At 36.8% G+C, this 25,941-nt stretch overlaps 1 protein-coding gene across 28 annotated transcripts in view, besides 1 other annotated feature; it reads left to right on the top strand.

Annotated features, from left to right (window-relative positions):
• MAST4 (microtubule associated serine/threonine kinase family member 4) overlaps positions 1 to 25,941 on the top strand; it is a 573,201-nt gene that overhangs the window by 461,750 nt on the left and 85,510 nt on the right. The window lies entirely within an intron of this gene.
• Positions 825 to 1,367: an enhancer, noted in NCBI's record as "OCT4-NANOG hESC enhancer chr5:66354795-66355337 (GRCh37/hg19 assembly coordinates)". NCBI's record gives its function as "activates a minimal SCP1, AML or CMV promoter by ChIP-STARR-seq in primed H9 embryonic stem cells {active_cell/tissue: H9 hESC(primed)}" and the evidence as "EXISTENCE:reporter gene assay evidence [ECO:0000049][PMID:30033119]".

The raw sequence follows: 25,941 nt of genomic DNA on the forward strand, positions 1-25,941 counted from the left end.
GAGGATCGCCTGAGCTGGGGAGATCTAGTCTGCAGTGAGCTATAATGGTGCCACTGAACTCCACCATGGGTGGAGGAGATAGTATCATTCACCTAGCATGGGGTCAAAAACCTTTTTTAATTGATAAAATTCAGTGATAGCAAAGATATGGGAAAGCGGTCCCTTTCCCATGATCTAAGGGTTGATGTGAATTAGTGTAACCATTTTGGTTAGTGGTTTTCAGTATTGGTGAATATTTCAAATGTGTTTACCCTTTTGCCCGGCAAATTAACCTAAAGGAATTTATCTTACTGATATTCTCATAAAATAACAGAAAATTATAAGTATAGCATGGCTTTTGTACCTAGCAAATGGAAAGGTACCAGTTTTTTATTTAAATTTTTCTTCAGTAATGGACTAGTTAAGTAAATAATGATTCAGGGGTGTAACCCAGCACTACATAGTTGTTACAAAGAACAAGGTGGGCTTTCATGTGCTGGTATTGGAAGGATACACAAGATACATTGTTAGGTGAAAACATTGCATGTTGTCATTTCATGTGCATCTGTGTTTTAGAGTGTGTATACACAGATGAAAGCACACTTGTATATTCATGCATAGTCATAGAAATTTGTGGAAAAGGAAAGGAGAAACTGTTAATTGTTTAGCGAATAAGAAAGTAGGGAAATTAGCACATAGTGCCTTTCTAATAAAAAGAAGGCTGTAAAAATAAAACCCATAAGAAAACAACATAATATCTGCAGTAGTTTTCTATTGCTGTAGTAACAAATTACTCATAATTTACTGGTTTAAACAACATGCATTTATTAATCTTACAGTTCTTCAGGGCAGAAGTCTGGGCAGGCTCGCCTGGGTTCTCTGCTCAGGGTATTATGAGGCCAAAATCAAGGTGTTGGTTGAGCTGGGCTCTTACCTGGAGGCTGGGAAAGAACTCACTTCCAAGCCCATGCAGTTGTGGACAGATTTAGGTCATTGCCTTTGTAGGACTGAGTTCCCCGCTTCACCCTGGCTATCAGCAAGGAGCTGCTTTTCAGCTCCTAGAGGCTGGCTGCCCTCTGCGATCTTGTAGCCAGCAGGGGCATATCCGGTCATTCTCGCACTTCAAATCTGACTGCTGCTCCTTCCATCAACCAGAGAAAACTCTTGCTTTTAAAAGGCTCACTTGGTTGAGTGAGGCCCCACTCAGATAATCTCTATACTTGAAGGTCAACTGACTTGGGACAATTACAGCTAAAAAAATCTCTTCATAGTAGTATTCATTTTTGATTGAATAACTAGGGGACTGGAATTTTGAGGAGACCATGGTTAGAATTCTGCCTACCACAGTAACACTTCATATTGTATTTTGATTTAAATGAGTAAAAGTAGGAGCTCTAAGAGTGATACTTAAGAGGATGAGCCACAGAGGAAAAGGAGATAAAAACTGAGACACAGTGACTCCAGGCTTTTAAAGTGCTTAGGTAGCAAATGTAGCCCTGTTGGCCAAAATACCTATTTTCTGTGTCTTCAAAAGTTGTTTTACTATGAATTTGCAGGTGGCTACTTTGATGTATTTTTAAAAGGGTTTCTGTAAGGAAGGATGGAAAGGAGTTTCACTTTTCTGTTGGGCAATTTTAGGAGTTATTAAAGATAGGAAATATCCCTAAATCTCTGTCTATGTGTATATATAGATTTAGGTTACAAAGAGACTTCATTTCTTAAGGGTTAGTCACCACTGTATTTATGCAGCTGTGTTCTGCTTGTTTCGGGTAGGCACATGGGGTTTGGGCAACAAAACAAAACATCCCGAATCCCACTCTTCAAAATGAATCACGTGAACATTTTCATGCATATCCCTTCATTATCTCCTCTGCCTCCCACCCCACAACCACCCATGGGGCTTTGACTTAACAAATAAAACTCAGCTTGTAACTTAGAGGGTTTCCAAGGAGAAACTATATGACATCATGTACATTTTTTAAACAGAATATCTTCATTATTTCAGACAACTCTTAAGGACCTTTCTCCTTTTGATTTCTTTTAGAGTCTCTTTTTGAGCCATACATGAGAATTGTTTGCAACTTGCTCACCTTGCGCTTCAGCTATATCAGTTCCACTCCCCTCAATCTTGCAACTCGTTCATTAGATGAGATACTAAATTGGACGGTGGTAAAGGCAATGGTTTTATAAACAGGCATGTTAATGCAAATAATTGAAAGTTAATAGTCTGGCAATAAGGTGGAGATAGGGAAAAATAAACAAGGCAGACTAATGAATTCAGAGAAGACAGTCTGGGGTAGAACAGGGTAAGCAGATATTCCAGTGTGCCAGAGATACTCCTGGGAGTATCACAATTTTTTTTTTTTTTTTTTTTTTGAGACAGTCTTGCTCTGTCGCCCAGGCTGGAGTGCAGTGGAGCGATCTCCGCTCACTCTAAGCTCCGCCTCACAGGTTCACACCATTCTCCTGCCTCAGCCTCCTGAGTAACTGGGACTACAGGCGCCTGCCACCACGCCTGGCTAATTTTTTGTATTTTTAGTAGAGACGGGGTTTTATCATGTTACCCAGGATGGTCTCGATCTCCTGACCTCGTGATCCACCTGCCTCGGCCTCCCAAAGTAGGGAGTATCACTATTATAACCCAGTGCCATCCTTGATATCAGCATGAAACTTTGTAATATTCTACTGCCCCAGGACTTTAACCTTGGAAGATGTGTAGTTGGGCCGTAAGGGATTTAGTAAAACCTGAAATTTTGGCACATAATGCCAACCAAGCACTTACTTGTTTACTAATAGGCGTGTGACTGTTTCGTTTTAAAATTTTAAGAGAGTTTATAGGCTATGTTGCCATGACTCTAATCTTCAAGGCTTGTTTGCTTTAAAAGTGTGAGTTTCTGATTATAACAGTAAAGCTAATAGTTTGTAAGATATACAAGAAATCACCTGGGAAATATAAATCCTCTATTAACCCATTACTTGGAGATAACCCCTATTACCAGTTTATTGTATTCTTCAGTCTTTTTTCCTGTATGTACTCTGTGTGTGTGTGTGTGTCCATCTGAACATGTGACTGAAATGCCTATGTTGAAACTTTTGTTCCCCCCTTATCACCACCAAATAGTACAGTGTTGAAGAGTCCATCAGTACAAGCCAAACATAATATCTTACTATTCGTAATGTACATGTTTTATTTCTATGGGATTTAGACATTTTCCATACTCATTAACCATTTGTATCTCCTTTTGTTATTTACCTTTATTTTTATCCTTGGTCCCTCTCTTTTGTTTAATTTTTATTTTATTGGCTTATAAGAAGTGAGAACTGATATTAATCTTTTATAATCTCACCAGTATCCTTTTTCAATTTGCCATTTCCCTTTTTATAACAGTGAGGGTTTTTTTTTTACTAATAGAAGTTATTATTTTTCATTTTGTGCATGTATGTGTGGTCCAAACTGTCAGTCTTTTTTTTATTCTTCTGATTTCTTCCAAGTTTGTTGTTATGTATAGTTGTACAGAGTTTTGCTTTTTTGACAAGACTGGTCTTGCTCTCAGCATCTCCTGCTCTGATCTCATTGCTTCCCCTCCCTCTTTCTGCTTAACAAGTTCAGCACCAGTGACGCATTTCTTTACCTTTTCATACTCTTAGTCTGTCAGTATAGGATGATGGTTTTCCTAAGCAGTGAAGAAGTTCTTGGGCAAAAAAAAAAAAAAAAAATCTGAATTCTTTCTAAACTGTATTGGTGAGCCTACAAAGGAAGGAAGTCTGTAAGCCAAATGGGCATTACAACAGTTTTTTCCACCTCCCCAGACTCCTGGAGTTGACTGATACACACACCTTTCTGCTCAGGTATTTGTGGTACCATCAGATTTTCATGCAGTGCTCAAAGGAGAGGCTATTACTTATGAATTTTAGTTTGCTGGTGAGAACAATTTAGTCATTAGAGATGAATGATCTTTAGGTGCCAGTGAAAGAATTCTCTTTATAAGATGAGGCTGGGCTGGGCGCGGTGGCTCACGCCTGTAATCCAAGCACTTTGGGAGGCTGAGGTGGGCGGATTACGAGGTTGGGAGATCCAGACCATCCTGGCCAACATGGTGAAACCATCTTTACTAAAAATACAAAAATTAGCCGGGCGTGGTGGCACATACCTGTAGTCCCAGCTACTCAGGAAGCTGAGGTAGGAGAATCGCTTGAACCCAGGAGGCGGAGGCTGCAGTGAGCCGAGATCACGCCACTGCACTCCAGCCTGGGCGACAGAGCAAGATGGTCCCCAAAAAAAAAAATGTGAGGCTGGAGACATGGCCCTGAGTGAAATATTGCCTTTGTTGTGTTTATTTTGTGACTTTCATTCAAAAGCCTTCAGCAGATTTTCCATGCTTGAAATATTATTTCCCAAATGTTTGAACCTGCTTTATAGATCTTTAATAAAAATGTTCATTCAGCAAGGCAATGACCTCCTTTAGCTGCATAGACATGATAGTACAAGACAAATAGTTCCCTTGCCTCTTTAAATTTAGGGAATAGGACAAAGGAAAATTAGGTGCTCATGGAGTCATAACAAATTAATTGTTAGCCTTAATAGGAATTAAGTTTCCTGGTGCCCCACATAACCACTGTTTCTTTAAAATAATATTAACTTTCTTTTTTGTTTTTTCAAAGGGATTTCTGACATCATACATTTCCTTTTTAAAAAAAAATATGTCAGTCTCAACAAAATCAACTTGTAAAACCTTATCTTCAGTTTAGGGCACCTTGCTGTCCTCCTTGTAGAGTGTCATTTTATGTTGGTAAAATAGGCAAATCATGTGGCTAAACTTTATCCAGGTGATTCCTTTAGTCAGCCATGGGTAGAGCATCATCTTGGAATCATCTAATTTTATTAAAACCTTTTTCACTGAGCCCCAAGATCAGATTTCTTATAGTGTGTATGTCCAAGCTATATCATTTCACAGTGCATCTGTTCTGTGACTTCATTTCATTAATAAGTTTCTCTGCATTACGGAGAATACCATCTTTATGTTCCATGCTGTACTCACTTTTTTTTTTTTGTCTTTAGCCTTTGTGTAATTGCCAATTGTTACTTAAGTAATGACACATCTTGCCCTTCCTGCTTAAGGAAAAGAATGATAAAATCAGATGGACTGACGTCAGTCAATGTGTTTTCCTAGTCTGGGGTATTGCTTTGTGTCAAGTCAATAATCGGGTGTATATACCAACATCATTAGTCTTTGTTAATTCCTTTATGCAGATCCATCTGCCCTGTGCCCTTCATTTATCATTTTGGCCCTTTAGGAAGTCTGTAATGTTGATGTATAATCTATTCCTAGTAATAATTCAATGACATTGTTCATATTTCCCTAATCTCTGGGTGTAAGAGAATTTAATCTGAATGGCCTTTGATTTAGATTTTTATTCTCTCCTTTATTATAAATTAAAGCTGTTGGAAACTGATGCCTAATTTTAATTTTGAAGCTCACCCATGTTAACAAAAGTGGTAGCAACTTTTTTTTTTTTTGTAAGAACATGGGTCATCCTGGGCAGACACCCATAGGGCAGGTTTTTCATTCTGTTTAATTTTGCTTTTCAATCACAATTTTGCAGCATTTTTGTTGTGTTTGTGTATCCACTGGGGACTTTGTTTAGCTAGGGTTGGTTGCTGAAGTCCCAGCTGGATCTTAATTACATATTTTCCATGTTAGAATTGACAGTCCTTAAAGAAAGATTGGATGTAGGGTGAGACAGAGTTGATCAAAGGTGACTTCCAGCTTGCTGAGAATATGGAAGACTGGACGGGACATTTCTCAAGATGGAAGAAACGAGAAAAATGAATCAGAGGTCATACTTAAGAGTTCACTTTGCTGCATATTGGGCCAACTTGCTCATGAGTCATTCAAGTGATGTAAATAGGCAGTTGTTGTTACATAGGTCTGAAACTCAGAGGTTGCCTCTGTGTTGGCGATGTCAGTTGGAAGCCATTAATTCACTGATGGTATTTAAAATAGTGAGAGGGGAGGAAATCATTGAAAGGAGAGTTGGAGTGAGAAGAAGCCAAAGCCTGGCTCTACAATGCTAACATTTTAAGGTCCTGAGAGGACACATGGCCAGCAGGAGACTGAGAAGCAGAAACCTGAGATGCAGGAGGGAAGGTGGAGAATGCAGTGCCATAGAATCCAAGAGCAGACGGGTGCCCACAATGAGGGAGGCGTCCATCTTAACATCAAGTCAGCCAGCCCTATCAGGTGCGTCACAGATGTCCACTGAAAGAATAAATAATTGTTTATAGATAAATGGCCAAAGACTCATTTGACTCTTAGGACCAAAAATGCAGCATGTGCCCTAATGCAAGTCAAGGATTACTTTCCCCCAAAAGAGGGAGTCTTCCTTAATACTGAAGTACCACAAAGCCCTGTACATCATACATTATCTTAATTACTTTATTTTGAAAGTAGTTTTAGCAAATCTTTCATTTGCCTTGTCCATAATATAATCCATTTCAACCATTGCTAAGCTGAATGGAGGCTGTTGCCTTTCAAACTCTTCCATAATTTAGTTGCCAAGGTGAGACTGATATACAACCTGCCAAGTCCAAAAAGCAGCCAAACAGGGCAGTGCTTCACCTAAAGCAAGGAAATCTAAAACTTTCTATTTTTGACAGAAAATCGACATTGGGAATTCTTGAGGTTAGATTCTTATAAATTTTAGAGAGGAGAAGAACTCTTGAAAAACTAGAGTCTCAAAATAGTCAACTTCTTGAAGTTACTGAGATAGGATAATCTTTTTAGTATCAAATTTTGTCAAAAAAATACAATTGGAAATTAAAATAATTGGTTTATCTACTTTGTCCATTTTTGTATTCGACATTTTCAGATTTAAATCTGGTGCAGCATATAATTACATATTTATTGCTTAAAATGTCTAAATTAATAAATAGTATAAATGACAATGTATTAGTATATATATGCTAAATCCCTAAAAGTTTATGTATTCAAACTGGGAAAAATAATTTTCTCATCTGCTAGTTGAAAATGAGAAATTGCCTTGTGTCTAGGGTTGCTTTTGTTCTAAGATATGATCAGTGACCACCTAGAAAGTAAAAGGTACATTTAAAATTCTTCCTAGTCACCTCTCACTCTTGTGGTTTTGAGAACATGGTAGTCTGTGACAGGACAGTTTCGGTGACCGTCACAGTGATTTCTGTGGCTTTGGCTTTTCTGCTCCTAGCTCACTCGTCAGCAGTTTACTCTCAGGTTTATCTCTGAATTTGAGTTAGAAATCCTCAGCTGTATGTAAATAGAGACTGTCTTCCTCCAGTCATTAGCTGGTGAGAGAGTGTGGATTTGTGTCACAGGCAAACTAACTGTTCCACAGAGACAAAAGGACTTGAGGCAGGGGCTCCGTTAGTGTGAGGATCAGCCAGCTGTCTTCATTAAGTGCCCAGTGCCATAGACAGAAGGCTGAATGCTCAACACAGCCACAGTGGCCTGTACCCATCAGGCAACCAGTAAGGGAAGTTTAAAAGTCTGTATCTTAAAATCAAGTATATATGCTAAAAAGCATTTTCTTTTTTTGGCACATTTAAATATCATGTACAGGAATGATATCTGTATCTTTGAACTTATTCATTCTGGCATAATTGTAGTTTCAGCTTTATGATGCTTTAATGCAGATTTTAAAAACTGACTACAGCAATGTATGAGTACTTCTCTACAAAAGCCGTGTAAACTGCAGGCTTTGAAGTTCTAAGCTTTCATGTTTGGAGTAACAGTGAGTAATTGCAGAGCTTGTCATGAAGTGTTCAGGTGTGCACACACTGTGGCAACCCAGAAGTTTAGAGGGTTCAAGCCTGGGGAGGAGGAGCCCATCAACACTCTGCACTGGAGTTGGTAGCATATTTTGGTTTCCCTAGTCAAGGGAGGAGAGAGGTAGATAAAATTTAGAAGTGTATAAATACAAAAACAGTCATATAGTTTTAGGGGGGAGAGATGAATTTTGCTTGAAAAAAATCTGAACTATTTTAGATGTTTTTAAAAATATGTTTAAAAACTTCTATTTACAAAAGCTGTATATATTCAGTGTAGAAAACTTGGAAAATATAAGAACAAAGAAGAATTGAAAAATCATCTATATTGTCCCCCTTAAAAGAAACATATAGATAAAAGAAAATAGAAATAAATAAATATAAATCATCTATATTCTTATCCATTACTCAGAATTAACTACTTAACATTTGAATGTATGTCTGTGCATTTTATATATCTATTATAATATTTATAACATCCTTACATAAATTTATATAAATATGATTTATATATATACATTTGTATATACATATATAAATGTATGATCATAAATATAATTTTATGTCTATATCATTTTCTTTTAGCATTATGTTTTGACTGTTTTTATATGTCCTTAAATATCTTTTTTCCCCTAATGGTTGGTTTCAAAAGATACAAAATATTCTATTTTATGGAAGTGCCATAACTGCCTCCCCCTAATGGACATTTTGGCTGTTCCCAGTATTTTTGTTCTTATAAGTAATGCTGTGGTGAATAGCATTATTCATGAATCTTTGTGATCAACTCTGATTAGTTTCTCAGCTTAATCCAAGAAAAATGTTCTTTCAAGTGTTGGCCTTTTATTGTCTTGTATTTGTGTTGTTGGGCTTTCCATTATTTCCTTACTTAGATTTTTGAGGCCCTAGAAGCCAGAGATTGTATCCACAGGAAATGCTCTTTAATGCTTGCTGCAAATGACATTTAATAAGCATCAAGAATGTGTTGTATAGGCACCAAGATAACTTTACACATATCTAAGTACCTCTCCAGTATGTTCTCCCTAGCTGAAACAATAGCCAGTTGTGTTAAACTTCCAGGAACTTTGTACCCAGTGACATCATGATGACCTGATGACGTCAGTGAGATGAATGAAGAAGGAACTATTGCAGGAGGCTACAGAGCCTGTCACACTTTTGTTCCTGCCAGACATTGAGGACTATACTTTAGTGTAGAAACCTCCTTCTACTATGTAACTCAGAAATTCTGCTACCCAAACCCTTTTGATTTTGAGATGGCTGACAATTAATGATATGCTAAATGGTGTACATAATAAACACTGGACCGCAGGGTAAAAGATCTGGTCTTTACCTAGCCCTCCCAGTTAGCAGCAATTCTACTTTGGGCAGTTCACTCTCTGGGTCTCAACCTCCTCATCTATCAAATGGAAGTAGTCAAACTTGCTCTTGGAACCTCATATGATTGTTTAAATGGGAAAGTATTTTCAGTATTATAAAGTACAACAACAGTGTCAAGTTTTAAGAAACTACCAGAGGATTATTACAACCAATCTGAATTTATAGCTAGAAATTTGTAGCTAGAAATGATACGACATCATAGTGTGTAAATACAAAGCAAATTAGGACACAGGCTTATTGCCATCTCCAAGGGGATTATTGACAAGGCATGTGTCATCCATGTAACCAAGTCTCTGCTGGGACACACTTGCAGTAGTCTGTGATATTTTCATTTTGATATACCAACCTTTGGAGGTCCCTTTGCTGGTACAGTTACTCTGGTTTCGAGCTGATTTGGGAAATTAATGGCATTTAAAAAAAAATCAACTCCAGTAGATCAGAACCACGGCAGTTCCAGAGAGGCTGCCTCAGTGATAGGGAGAGGCAAGGGTGATCTGGTAATGGGATTCACAGCCCCTACCCCACCTTTGCTTCATTCAACCAGAGAAGCTCAACCTGTCCCATTTTGGACTAAGGAGTAATCTTTTGCTTGAGCTGAAGAATCGGTGTACACACACATACACACACACAGGCTTGAAACCATTCTAGGAAACGGAGACCCAGTGCACCTAGTGTCCAGGATCCTGTGACTTGCTGGTATCTGACCCAGCTCTGGAGCTCTGCTCCCCAGATCTCTGCATCTTGCACCCCTCCCAGTGAGGCCCTGGAATCTATCCCTGAAGATGCCTTCTAGAAGAATCAGGAAAGACCTGGGACATCTCCAGAGTGAGCCTTGATTCACTCTTCTCTCTGGGTCCTGAACACAGTGTTTAGATGAATGATTTTCTTCATTTATGTTTCATCTGTCCTATTCTGTTGTATTAGTCTGTTCTCATGCTGCTATGAAGAAATACTCGAGACTGGGTAATTTATAAAGGAGAGGTTTAATTGACTCACAGTTCTGCATGGCTGGGAAGGCCTCAGAAAACTTACAATCATGGCGGAAGGTGAAGGGGGAAGAAAGGTACCTTATTCACAGGGCGGCAGGAAAGAGTGAGAGCAAGCAGGGGAAATGCCAGATGATTATAAGGCCGTCAGATCTTGTGAGACTCACTCCCTATCACGAGAATAGCATGGGAGAAACCATCTCCATGATCCAGTCACTTTCCCCTGGGTCCCTCCCACAACATGTGGGGATTATAGGAAGTACAATTCAAAATGAGATTTTGGGTGGGGACACAGCCAAGCCATATTATCTGTCAAAGAACTTGGGTCCCCCACTTAAATAGATAGTGGTGGTGGGGTGGGAAGAAACCTCACTTTTCCAAAAAGAAATACAGGCATTTTTTTTGTTTACAGTCATTTTGTTGTGATATTTATCATTTATGGGATGTTTTAAGTATAGAAAAAATTCTAGTATTATTTTAGGAATGAACTATATTGCTGTGGTACATTAAAATAGTAGTCAAGAGATAAGCAAGGTAATAGTAAGCTAACAGGTCTCATGCAACTAAATCATGTCAAGAATAGTCAGCAGGAGACGGCACCCACCTGAGAAACACGTGGGCTGAGAGAGGAAAACTTCCTAACCTTTGTAATAAAAACCATGCATTTCCTAAGTATTCCGCTGACCCTCCTGCTGACACCCTTCTCGTTGGTGGAGAGTCGCTGATACACGTATACCTAAGGACGTCCCCAAAGCATGAGCATTCTAAAGTGGTCCATGTATTAAGGTATCAGATGTTGATGAACAGAGAGACTGGCATTTAATTACATGGACTCTGCTCATCTTTTATCCTTAGATATAAAGAAGTTATATTTCAGGTTAATTTTCTTAAAGTTTTATCATGGTCTGCTAACAATCAAATATGACTTTGAACAATTCTCTTAACTTGGCTTTAATTTCCTTTTCTGTTAAAGGAGGAGATTGGATATATATATATATATATATATATAAAATTTTAAAATATTCCTTCTAAGGCTGTACCTTCATATTTCTAGTTCTTTGGCTTTAAAGAAGATTTTCTTTCACCCTGTGTTCTCAGGATTAATATATACCTGCCTTGTGTTCTCCATTGGAGGCATGCTTTTAGTATTCCAGGTCTGATGACAAATGACACTCTCAGCATCTAAAATATTAAAGATAAAAGAATGGGTTAGCTGGTTGGGCCCAACAGACATAAGATGTGAGGGCATGCCCGAGTGACCCCCAGCATGTTCTGGATATGCACTCCGCATTTCATCAGCATCTGAGGATGGATGTGCCCTTTGGAAGGAATTTTGAGAGGAAAACAGGTTGTCCTGTGGACCGTGCCTCCCAGGAACTTTGAAGGCCAGGTATCCCCTTGTTTATCTGGAGAAGCAACACATCCCAGTTTGTGGTAGTTATATCTATCCGCTGGAACAATTAGGCCTAAAGCCTATTTTTGCACATGTGGGAATGTACTGGAAGTCCTGCAATAGTTACCAGAGTGACCGGCCAGTGTCTGAAGGAATGAACGTAGTTTCGAAGGCTTTGAGAGAAAGTGTGTGTGTGTGTGTGTGTGTGTGTGTGTGTGTGTGTTCCTCAGCAAAAGAACATGCCCTACTTCAGTGTTTAGAGATGCAAATCATCTTAAATAGGCCAAATGCAGGAAATGAAACAAGTTCCTTAATTGGTAAAAAGCCCACTTCCTTGTGGGATCAGTAATTTGGCTTGGGAATGCACACATTCCAGCATCCTTGAAATTGAAAGAAAAAAAAATAGGTGAATTGATTCACATTTGGTGCTCTTATGCCATTATTTCAGTAGGAAATGTGGGTTATCATTTCATTTGACAGTTTTGATTTCCAAAAGAGAAGGACCAAATGCAAATTTTTCTCCCTTCTCTGGAGACATAGGCGGACTTTTAACATCAAGAGATGTACATACCTCCCCTGACAACACATTTCACATAAGCAGTATCAGTCTGCCCTGTCAGTGGTTCTGTGAAGCTGTTTATTTCATCCTACTGTTCCTATTGTTGACAAAAATGAGGGATGTTCATTTCTTCTAGTGATGTGGGCTTTAACTATTTCTGTCACGAGTGCAGTGTGCCTATCTAACCTGAATTCTGCTTACCATTCATTTCCTGAAGTTGTCTTTACTAGCAGGGTAGAAGTTACAATATCTAAATTTAAGTTGCTGACCTTTATTTACTTCAGAATAAGCAGTTGACTTGTGAGTTTATGTTTGATAGCTAATCATGCATTCTGCTTTTTATTAAAATACCCATAACATCTGCCACCACACCTTATTTGTAAAACTGCTATAATACTGGAAACTAAGAACATACCAATGATCATTCACATCTTGAGTAGGAATGAATGCTGTTACCTGTGTCAACAGAAAATCTTGTGTCAGTAATCAGCTCATGGCTAGACCACAGAAACAGTATGATAGCAAGATAGGCAGGAGACAGAAGGTGGATTTCACCTTCCTGGACTGCATACCCTGACATCAGAGACTTTATACCTGTCCCTACAATCAGAATATCTGGCAGTCACCACCCAACCCCGCACCACAAAGAAGCCGCATTTTGTGCTGATCAGAGCCATCCATTGCCCTCCCAACAGTATTATCTTTCTGTAGGAAATTTAAGAAACTATACTTTCCAGTATTAAACATCCCACATCAGATAAGTTGGGGATTCATTTATTAATCTGTAATAATATGCCTTTTTGGTGGGGGAGCCAAATTAATGGAACAAAGTCAATGATCAAAAATACTATCATTGAAGACTTTGATAAGTTGGTTAACAGTAAAATCGGTACAAATAGTGGAAACAAACAAAACTCTGCTCTAGAAATAGTCTTGTGGCTTTTAAATTTTTAAGCAATGAAGGCGAAAGACCTACAAACAACCGAAACTATCTGAACAGGAAATAAAATAAAATAAAATAATTGCTAACAAAGGAATAAAACGCATGCTGACCTCAGTCATACCTTTCACTGCTAGATAATGATGTAATGGCCAGAGAACTCTATTTGGTAGGGAGGGAGGGAGGTAGATAGATAAAATCATATATTCAAGAACACACAAAATAACAGTCCATGGATCTTTCCTGGAAAAGTCACTTAAAGATATACAGAAGATGGCTGGGCGTGGTGGCTCACGCCTGTAATCCCAGCACTTTGGAAGGCCAAGGGGGGGGCGGGGTGTATCACCTGAGGTCAGGAGTTCAAGACCAGACTGACCAATATGGCAAAACCCCGTCTCTACTAAAGATACAAAAATTAGCCGGGCATAGTGGCATACACCTGTAGTCCCAGCTACCCAGGAGACTGAGGCAGGAGAATTGCTTGAACACGGGAGGCGAAGGTTACAGTGAGCCGAGATCGTGCTGCTGCGCTCCAGCCTGGGCGACAGAGCGAGACTTCATCTCAAAAAAACAAAAAGGATTTACAGAAGATGACTGAAAAATTAAAATGAACTTAAATTGGAAAGATGAGTTATAAAAGTACTATAGTATTGATAGGAAAATGAAAGTTTAAAAAGATACTTTAAAATGTAGTATAAATGATAATTCACTAATAGCAATATAGATCTAGAACTCATTAAGATCAGAGACAAGGGTGACAGAAGCACACATGTGCAAAGTTCCTTAACTTACTTTGAGGCATGGGGGAGGAAATAAGAATAAATACTGTATTTCTTCTCAACTCATTAATTAAAATATGCATGCATGTGTGTTTTTTAAACATTTTAGAATAAAACTTACTAGCATGAAAAGCAATTATTTCCTTTTATGTTACTGAAGAAAGAAAAGTAACCATCCAGCAAGGAATTAAAAAATTACCAACTTTACTTTGAAATATAAATGTGAAAAGTTGGTAGAACAGTGTAAGAATTATTTACTGTGAATTTTTGGGATTCTAAGAGTGCTGATTAGTTTAATATTATAAACACTGTTAATACATCATAGCAGCGTGTCAAATGTTCATCTGAATAGACATTGAAAAAGCCCTTGATAAAATTAAACATCCATTTCTGCTAAAAATTATTTAGAAAATGAGAATGAATTGAGAAATCCATAATGTAGAAAGACATCTAATTTAGACTAATGGCCAATGTCTTACTTTAGTGAAATACCAGAAGCATTTTGTTAAAATCTTTCCCCATTAATATAACACTTTATGCTACACATTCTTTGCAGTCAGATAACACATAAAATGGAAACAAAATATATAATTCAAAGATGGTAAAATTTGTTATATTCATATGACATAAAGAATCTAGAAAATCCAAGAGAATTCAGTGAATAAGTTCTAAAATTAATAATGAAGTAGGTTGTATACAAGATGGATATATAGAAGTTAATGCTGTTGTATATTACCAACTATGACAAGTAAGAAATGATAGTGGGAGAAAGGAGTGATATTCTGTGACAGCATTCCATGCCCTTTTCCCATAACCCCACCCCCACTGCCCACCCTCCAAAAGGGCAGAAAATATCATGCTTTGAAATAACCAGAAGACTTGAAAGGGATTGCTATGAAAACACAACAAAACTTTATTTGAAAAGTAAACTGTTATGAATAATGGAAAGATGTGTCCTGTTCATTGGAGAAAAGGCTAAATATTGTTATTTTCCCCAAATTATAGTTGTGATGGTACTTTCAATTAGACTTTTCATGAGTATGTATATGTGTGTTTAACTGTTTTCTTTATTGCAAACACTGAATGCACTCTGTCTGGTTTAAGCAGGGGAGGAATTATTAAAGTATATTAGGTAGCTCACAGAATTAGTATTAGTACCAGAGAGTGAGCATTGGAGGCCAAATACCCTAGAAGAACACCCAGCCCACACCATGGCACTGTGCCAGAGCAGGTCCAGCTCCTGCTGCTCCTGTTCTCTGGGTTGCAGAAACTCTTGACACTGATGCTCCCCAAAAGGAATGCCTCTACTGCCACTTCTGTCATCAAAATTGATTTCTTTGGCAGGTCTTCTTATTATTGCATTGTTTCAAGCCAAAGTTGAGTTTAGCTTAAAAACTCAAAAAAAACCTAGTCTATATTCTAACTGCAAGGAAAGTTGGAAAAGTGGGTGGTGGCATCAGCCCTGCAGAGGCAGGACTCGGCTCACGATATGGGAAATTCCTCTTACGTAGGGAGGTTGCTTAGAAGATAACTGGAGGCCATAAAGATGACAAATGCTTACAGTGGTAACTTGATGTAATGACCCCAAGGTACATCTAGAAAACTCAGTAGATACAATTAGCCAAATAAATCAGTGAGTTGGACCTGACCTACCTGAGATTAACACATATCAGAAAGTGACAATCCAAGCATTCATATATGAATAAGAACAGGAAGGAATGGATGAAGATATGTTGAAGAAAACATCACAAACCACTGCAAAGGAAATAGTTTAATCAACAGATGATACTGGGAAAAGTATATGAAAAATACTTAAGGTGAGCTTCTTTCATACTATATATACTAAAATGATTCATATGGCTTTTAAATTACCTGTAAAAATTAAATGCTAAAAAGTAAAATTAATATATAGTTGAACATTTAATATATTTAGGATGGAGAAATAATTTCTGAGTATGAAAAAGTAGAAGAAATCACTAAAAGGAAAAGATTGATAATAGAAATTTAAAATTCTGTAAGTTAAAAAATACTGTAAACAAAACTAATACACTAACAAATAACTTAGGACATATCTACAAGAAGTATAATGGGCAGAAGATCAATATTGTTAAGTCATAAAGAGCTTTTTTTAATGAACGTATGAAAATACTACCCCCTAAATAAATAGGCAAAGGACATGAACGGACATCTCAGAAAAGAAATAGAAATGACAGATAAACAGATGAAAAGTTCAACCTCTTATTAATCAAATAAATGTACATCAAAATGATGAGACATCAGTTTCCACTTGATTTGCAAATATTAAACAGCAAACATGGTAATATTCATTTCTGATGATGGTATATTGAAATGGATATTTTCACTACATTAATGTAAATTTACAATGGTTTTAGCGAGCAGCTTGATACTTTATGTCAAGAGCCCTAAAAATAGTTCACATGACTTGAACTATTATTTGCATTTTATGAAATATAATTTAAGGAAATAATCAGAAAAGTACTCAAATGTATATTTTAGGATGTTAATTGCAGCATTAATTTGTAGTAGTACAGAATTGGAAACACCCTAAACATTAAATACTAAGAAGATTGATGGTTAAATTGTAGTCCATCTGTATAATGGAATAATTTGTAGCCATTTAAAAATCACATTTTTGAAAAATATCTAATAGCATAGGAAGATTGTAATTATAACCTAATTATAAAGAGCAGGACACAAAACAGTATGGTTTATGATCTAATTTGAAAGTATATTTGTATATACGTGTATACACTGTCAAAAAATAAAGACACTACAATATTACATTAGGATTATCGATTTCATTTTTATACTTTAATGTATTTTGCAGATCCTCTGCCATGATCATCTGTTAGAGTCAGATTTTAAAAAGTTATTTTAAAGGTGAGCAGTTCTTTTCCTATGGATTTTAAACGTTTCACCAGAAAAATTCATGTGCATATTGCTTTCACCCTCACCATCTGCCTCAGTCTAAAACAGTTAAACAGTTTTATGTGTAGCGTTTTCCAACATTAGTAGCAGTACTAAAGTTATCCCCTCAGTCTAATTTGTCCTTAGTCAGCCCCATGGTAGTGCTGGGCATATGCTACTATCTTTTACCTAACATCCACCTAGAAATGTATATGTCTGCTGGAGGTTAGTGTATGATCTGAATGAAGATTGGAATGAGTTTTTTTTTTTTTTTTTCGTTCCTTTTTAGAGAGAGTTTTGCTCTGTCATCTAAGCTGGAGTGCAATGGCATGATCGTGGCTCCCTGCAGCTTTGAACTCCTCAGGCTCAGGTGATCCTCCCACCTCAGCCTCCTTAGTAACTGAGAACTACAGGCGTGTACCACCATGCCTGGCTAACTTTTTGTATTTTTTTGTAGAGACAGGGTTTCTCCATGTTACCCAGGCTGGTCTTGAACCTCCTGGGCTCAAGTGATCCACTGACCTCAGCCTCCCAAAGTGCTGAGATTACAGGCATGAGCCACCACACCTGGCTTTGGAGTGTTTTTTTTATGACATGCATTGCTGAATAAAAATGTGATTGGTGAGGAGTTGAGTTAATTAATGTAAAATATTACAAAACTATTTAGCAGAAGTTTGTCATCTTTATCTTTTAGAAAAAAAAAGTAAATTAAAAATGGCCTAAGAAACATTGTTCTCCATTAGGATTCCAAAATGATAAATCTGCTAGCCTATAGGGGAAAGGTCAAAATTTTGTTTTGCTGTAACTATATGTCATAAAATATAAAAGCTAAGCACTCCCTTAGGCATTATCTCACACATTGTTCCACTTGCTAGCACATTTTTAAGTTTTTAAAATCATACTATGAAATGATTAGCTATTATAACATTTGAAGTTTTTTTATTTTTGAAATTATAATTTAATTAATAACCAAATGTAGATCTTGTTATTTATTATCTTTATTACATGTCTTGGTAAAACAGAGCCAGGAATTCCTATTGTAGTAGTCCTGGGAAACTAGTCCAGGTGTAACATTGCCCATGATTAATTGGTGATGTACTCAGGCCTGACACCATCCCACTCTACTGCTCCACTGTGGGAGATGCACCTTGATTGCCCAGTGGCCTAATCTAATCCAATGACCTCTTTCTGGGAAAGAAAAAAAAAATTGAGCATGAGCACCCTGCAGGATTTGATACCAGGAACCATTTCCAATTTCTTGAGTAGTTGTCTTCTCTTGCTTCCTGTGGTGCTTGCTTCTGTATTTCTGTTCTTGTTGGCTCCTTTTGCTTCTTGTGCCATTTTAACTATTGGAATCCCTTGGATCACATTCTCTGTCACACTTAATTGTGGCATAAACTCTTTTACCAAGGTCCTCTCTTTCATGCGTGTGCCAGTTTTTCCCACAGCTTTCTCTTGGGTCTGAACCTTTCTCCTGAACACAGATGCATGTGTCTGTTTACTAATAGTCTCTCCATCTGATTGTGTCCTACCAGCACCTCAAATCCAGCTGTTACCCAATAACAAATTTATTTTCTCCAATTTCTGTTTATTCTCTCTGTTATTAGCAACATCATCCACCTTGTCACTCAAACTAGAAATCTCAGTATCATTTTTTGTTACACCCTCTCTCCCACTTTCCCTCTGAAAAGTGTTTTATACCTGACCCCCCTCCCCAGTGCCACAGCCACTGGTTCCAGGATGTTTCAGTGACAGAGAACTGGGAGCCTGCTTTGGCACTTCCTGGGCTCCACCTCCATCAAATCTCTCTCAGACATCGAAGCTCATTTTTTTGAAAGACATGAACTTAATTATGTCTTTTACCTAATGTAAAACATTTCATGGTTCATCATGACATACGGGAGTATAGTGGTTATTAAAGTGATTCCCAGATGAGCAGCAGCATCCATCGCCACCGCCACAGACTAGTTAGCAATACAAACTCTGAGGCTCCAACCCAGATCTACTAAGTAAGTAACTGTGAGGGGTGGTGCCCAGCACTCTGTGGTCTAACACATTTTCAAGGTGATTCTGATACACTCTACAGTTGGAGAATTAACTGCCCTGTAGGTTCTAAAGCCTGGCTGTGCATTTGAGTCACATGTGGAACTTAAAGACATACCCAGACCCAAGGCCAATTAAGTCAGAAACTTAAGGTGTCTGGCCTGGTCTGGCCTATATCTTTTTAAAAGCTCCCCAGAGATTTTGATACAGAGTAATGGTAGAGAACAACTTAAACTGTAAAATTCACTTTTTTTTTTCCAGCAGAATCTAAAGTAGTGTTTCTGAAACTTGAATGCACACTGGAGTCACCTGGGAAGCTTTAAAAATGACTGATGATTGCCCTCCACCTCCCTCCCCATTCTGATTTAATTGGTTTGCAGTGTGGCTTGGGCTTTGGGGTTTTTTAAGTTCCCTAGGCTATTTTAATGTGAAGCCAAGGTTAAGATCACTGTTCTAAAGCTAGGATTCAGAAACACTATTGTGCCTAAGAAGCGCCTGGAGTACTTGATAAAAGTAAGGGCCCCACTCAGGTGACGAATCACCTGGAGTACTGCCCTAAAGAGTATTGCCAGCTGGCCCCTGACTGTTGTAGTTACGCTTTCATCCATCCACTTTGCTCCTCACCATTCACTGCTCTGCCTTAATTTCCTACAACTCCCCGTCCATAACATCAGATTACTTCACTTTACTTAAGTGTGTCTTGCTTAAATCACTGGAAGGAAGTGTAGGTTATTCAAGCCAATAAATTGTCCTGAATCAATTGATTAGCCATTTGGAAAAGCGGTAAGCCAGACTGCTATCTTGCTCCTTATAAGAAATAAGCCCCATATAGATTTTAAAAAATGAATTAAACCATAAAAGTACTAGGAAAAGGACAGGTGCAGTGGCTCATGCCTATAATCCCAGCACTTTGGGAGGCCGAGATGGGTGGATCACCTGAGGTCAGGAGTTTGAGACCAGCCTGACCAACATGGTGAAACCCCCTCTCTACTAAATACAACAAAATAGCTGGGCGTGGAGGTAGGCGCCTGTATTCCCAGCTACTAGGGAGGCTGAGGCAGGAGAATCGCTTGAACCTGGGAGGCAGAGGTTACAGTGAGCCAAGATCGCGCCATTGCACTCCAGCCTGGGCAACGAGGGCAAAACTCTTCTCTCAAAAATAAATAAATAAATAACTAGAAAAAAATGTGGATACATTTGGAAAATAATTTGGGATTGAAGAAGGCCTTTCCAAACAGATAAAACACCTAAAAGCCATAAAGGAAAGTGGTTGACAAATTTGATTAGATAAAAACTTTTCCACAGAAAAGTTACCATAAGTAACATTAAAAGATAAACACAGATGAGAAAACCAGTCTTCAATATATTGACAGGGTTGCCTTGATGTGAAAAAAAAAAAAAAGTAACAATAAAAGACTAACAGAAGAACTCAGTGGAATGAAGTACAAACTCTGGGTAGTTTGTACAAAAAGAAACACAAATCGTCAGTTAACATTAAAAGATGCTCAGCTTCACTCATAATCATCTGAAGAAACATGAAACGTTATATGAGGTGATGGCTATGTTAATTAGCTTGATTGTGGTAATCATTTTATAATTGTATAGCAAAACATTATATTGTACACCTTAAATATGTACAATTTTTGTCAAGTCAATAAAGCTGGAAATATATATTTATATATTTATATTTATATTTATATCTTTATATATATTTATTTTATATTTATATTATATTTATTTATATTTATATATTTATATATAATATTTATTTATATTATATTTATATTTATCTAAATATATATTTATTTATATTTATCTAAATATATATATTTATTTATATTTATCTAAATATATTTATTTATATTTATATTTTTATATTTATATTTATATATTTAAATATATTTATATATTTATATAAATATATATTTATATAAATATATTTATATATTTATATATTTTTATATAAATATATATATATATATATATATATATATATATATATATATGGCAATCTGATGTTATCTGTCAAATTACCAAAATCTGAAAAAATTTAGTATTGGCAAGGTGGAAGGTAGACAGCATCCTATATGTCACTAGTGAAAATATCAGTGCAGTGTCTTTGGAGAGCAATTTAGCGAGAAGGACCAAAGTGAAAAGTGCACTGTACTCAACTGTACCCAAAGTTTTGCTCATAGGAATTTAGCTCTTGGAAGTACGTAAATATTTAGAAGATATTCATTGAATCTTCAAAACACTAAAATTAGTATAAATATTCATTCATAAAATACTAAGTAAATGATGCTAACTGAAATATTGGGATATTTGGTGCTGAAAGGTGATAATAGAGATTTAGATGGGCTAACACAGAAAGTTATAGATAATTAAAAAATAGCAAATATAGAACTTTATATAAATAATAGAGCATTATATTTGATGTAGTATTTTGGGAGGAATTTTTTTATACACATATGCTTGTGAATATACACATATTTCTAGATAGGTACATACCCTATCAAAAGAGGTCACTTCTGAATTGTAGGACTGGGCATGGGGAGGTGGAGGTGGGGACGCAAAGTCTGGTACAGAGCCTGACACAAGTGTTTGAATGAACCAGTGAATAACAGTCAGAGGTTGAGAGAGGTTTTTTGGCTTTATCGTATGTCTACTTGAATCATTTGAATTTTTTTCCATGTATATATCATTGCTCTTGTAATAAAAATTAAAACATGTAAAAATGTGCAGTTCATTTTTGGGACTCTGTCCCTTCATTTTCCTCTGCCTCAAAGCCTCCTTTCCTTTCACTTTTCCTTCTAGATGCAGATCGAAGGTTGCCCCTGCAAAGCTATCCATTATTTTCTCTGAATTCACATCTTCCTTAATTTATCCTTACCACCATGAACACAAAGTTCCACATGCTGGGTCTCTCTTCCTTGCCTCATGGGTTAGAGGCTTGTGGTCAGGGATGGTCTGATTCAGCCTTCTTTCTGCAAAGGCTACCAGGGGTCTGCAAAAGGGGAGGGAAAAGTGGCAGTACTTTACTGTCCAGCTTCTTAGCGCTAGTCTGCCTTAGAGTCGTCACACCTGACCTGACGTACAAAATAATTCACCATTTCTAACCCCTTGAGTATTCTCAGAATACGAAGCTTTGGCTTCATTAAACACAGCCTTCAGAAAGGTTAGCATTCCATTGCATCCATTGTCACTGCCAAGATCACTTGAAGGAAGCCCCGGGTATCATTTGTCTTTGACTTTCTGGCCCTAGCAAAGTGTCCAGCATATATTAACTCTGCATAAGTGCTTTCCAAATGATTTAAAAATTTTAAATATGTGCCTTTTATGTACCTACTTTTTCATTCAAAGAGGGATTTAAAGACCCTGTCATGTTCTTTAAGAGAATAATCACAACTTTTTTTCTCCCATCTCAGTTCGTCCCAGAATACCTGAAGGATTCAACACCTTGCAATAGTAACTGTGGCTGTGTAAGGTAGTGATTCTCTGAAGGTTGACATTTGTGCATACAGAATCTCAAGAGTTGTGTGTGGCTTAAAACAAGCTCCACTAATCACACTTATCAATTATTTTCAGATTGTCTACTAAAGATATCATGGATGCATGTACAGAACATAAATGAAAGGACCGGAAAGGCCATGTTCCTATTATGTATAAAGGCAAATTATGTTTTATGCAAGAAGGAATGATAAGAATTAGAGTGAATACTCTTAGTTTTGCTTCTGATAATCAGTTGTTGAATCTAGATCCCGTGCCTTGATTTTAACTGTCCTAATAATTTTAAATATTATAATATTACATGGACCGTATAATAGGCATTCTGCCTCAAAAAAAATGAAAGCAAGCATGAGATGCACAGATTTTAAGTCAAATATTCATGTTTGTTAGATATGATTAAAATGAAAACTGGTTTGAACAAACATGAGTAAAGTTGATAGTGAAAATGTAAACATTATGGTTAATTAATGTTTTCTTTAATTATATATATTATATAATATAATATATAATTGTATATATTATATAATATATATAATTGTATATATTATATAATATAATATATAATTGTATATATTATATAATATAATATATAATTGTATATATTATATAATATAATATATAATTGTATATATTATATAATATATAATTGTATATATTATATATTTTTTTTTAACAGAGGTTTTAAATCTTAACCCAGGAACACAGGAGCAATAGAAGCTTAGCATGTGGGGAGAGGTTCCTATTTTAGAGGGAAGGGAAAACTGTGCATATAATTGGGTAAGAGTAGCAATAGGATTTGGGGTGGGGGAGGTTATGTACGTGCTTAACCCAGGAGGATACCTGTGGGCATTTGGGACTTCTGGATAATTGACATGGTATGATATACTATTTGTTTGGTTTGAAAGGGAAGGAATTTCAGGTCTTAATGCTGTTTTGAGAATACTTAGAGGTCAAAGTGAGGTGAATGTAAAACAGGCATCGAACTAGTATGATTGAGACAAGGAAGAAGAGATGCTGAATTATGGGAGAAAATAGGGAAGTGAAAAAAAAATATTAAGACTTCCTGGTTCAGAGCTCTCAGGGACAAGTGGAAGCTTAGAACATGATTTACAGTATACAAGAAATTCTAAGGCTATGGTTCTCAACCCTGGCTGCACATTAGAATTATCTCATTTAAATGGGGTGGGCCAACTTCACCACTATGTAATATATCTCTGTAAGACAACTGCACTTGCACCTCCAAAACTATAAAAATAATTTTTTTCAAATGTTGACATATATAGTATTTTATTTTTAAATATTCTAGTGTGATAAAGCATACTTTTGTGAAAATAAAATTTCTATGCCCCAGACATTATATGGAAAGCTAATGTTGTGTAAATAAGATGGCAATTTTTCTATTACTTGTAATGACATTTTAAATGTGTTTCAGAAAGTGCCTGGGATTAATCACAAAGGGAAAAATAATAACTTGACAGTGAGGAACTGGTGGACACCACCTTAGCCACGTGACCAAAGTTATCAATAACAGGATAAAATCAATCTCATGTACCTCTGGATATGTTACACTGAGAAAGATACTTCATCACTTACATGATATTGCTCCCCCACAAATTTCATAACCTGAATCTAGTTATAAGGAAATACTATGCAACCCAAATTGAGGGACATTCTGCAAAACAACTACCTGTAATCTTTTTTTTTTTTTTTTTTTTGAGACGGAGTCTCACTCTGTCGTCAGGCTGGAGTGCAGTGGCGCGATCTCAGCTCACTGCAACTTCTGCCCCCGGGGTGCAAGCGATTCTTCTGCCTCAGCCTCCTGAGTAGCTGGGACTACAGGCACACGCCACCACGCCCAGCTAATTTTTGTTGGGGTTTCACCATGTTGGCCAGGATGGTCTCCATCTCTTGACCTCGTGATCCACCCACTTTGGCCTCCCAAAGTGCTGGGATTGCAGGCGTGAGCCACCGTGGCCAGCCTACCTGCAGTCTTTAAAAGTGTCAAGGGCATTAAGGCAGAGGTACAACTGAGGAACTGTTTCAGACTGAATGAAACCAGAGAGACACAGCAACTAAATGCAATGTGAGATGCTGGATCAGATACTAAATCAAGAGAAGAGAATAGCTCTAAAGGACATTATTTGGACAATTGGTGAGATTAAATGTAAATATGGAGTGCAGATTAGATAATAACATTGTATCAATATTGTATTTCCTAATTTTGAAAATCAGACTGTGGGCATGTAAGAGAATGTCCTTGGTCATATGGCATATATACAAAAATTTAGAGTTATAAGACCATGTTTCTGACTTATTTAAATAGTATTAAAATCCAAATTTAAAAATATGGAGAGAAATAGTAATAAAGTAATTGTAAATGTTAAACAGGTGAATCTGAGTAAAGAGAGCAGAAGCTCTCTGTACTATTCTTACAACTTTCCTCTAAATTTGAAATATTAAAATAAAAAGTCACCAAAAAGGGAGGTTGGGATAGGGCCTGGGTGTTAGCATTTTTAAAGCTTCAAAGGTGATTCTGATATGCAGTTCCCATTGACACCTGTTTATTGATCTAAGGAAATGGAGGAAATGAGTGTGAGAAAAATATTAGAGGAATAAATATCTACAGGCCAAGAGTTTCCAAGATTTCCTGTGTGGTTTGTGGGAACTGAAAAGTCAGAATTCTGATTTGATAGATTCTTGGCACATCACGTATTATTTTATTATGAAGCAACAGGGTTAAATGCCTTTGATCCTTTAAATCTGAACACACTTCTGAAGCTAGAAATTGAAAAATGATTAACTTAAAAGGAAAAGGAAAACACCTTTGCACATATTTTGCTTCTTCCAGATGGAATTCATGTCTACCAGAGGCAAACAAAATGTTTAGCATTTGTTAAATGGGGCCACATTAAATTTAGCATTTATTTTTTAACTAAGAGCCAAAAGAAAGAGATTTATAATAGAGAATACCTTTAGATGGCATTTAGAAAGTTATATGGATATGTGTTTCATTTAAATACTTTCTCTTTGACTAGAAATTACTCAGCAATTGAAACAAACAGTCTGAGAAAAACCCATTTCCTGATAATATCCACCCTTCTTCTAGGAAAAAGGGGGAATTCTTTGTATCTAATTATGTTAAGGAATTAAATCCCTTCATGTAAGATAGAAAAAAAAATACGAATGCATTAGGTTACATTCTTTAACTCAGAGTTTTATCCAGATTCAGTCTATAATTAATTATGTAAGATTAATAGAATGAATCAAGTTTCATGAAATTGCATGATGCTTAGGAATATCTGTTACAGTGGCTATGTTCTTACCTCCCTTCCTTGACCTTACAAATGCTACTCAGTAACTTTAAACAAGGGGTAAAAGTAATCTCTTCTCTGTTGCTAGGAAGGTGAATTACTGTAGATGGGAGGAAAACATGCAACTTAAAATCAACTTTCTTCATCACTCTTGACATTCACCAGTCTTTACTTGGGATCACCTTGAGATGTGACATCAATTCAGAGTAATAAGGAAGGGTCAGTGAAAAGCTAAAACATTCTCAAGAACCCATTTTAACACATCTCCAAGGGATTCCTGTCAATGCCACAGCATTTCAAATACAGTACACAAGTTCCAG

The sequence above is a fragment of the Homo sapiens genome, chromosome 5 (genome assembly GCF_000001405.40).
Source record: "Homo sapiens chromosome 5, GRCh38.p14 Primary Assembly".
Classification (NCBI taxonomy): Eukaryota; Metazoa; Chordata; class Mammalia; order Primates; family Hominidae; genus Homo; species Homo sapiens.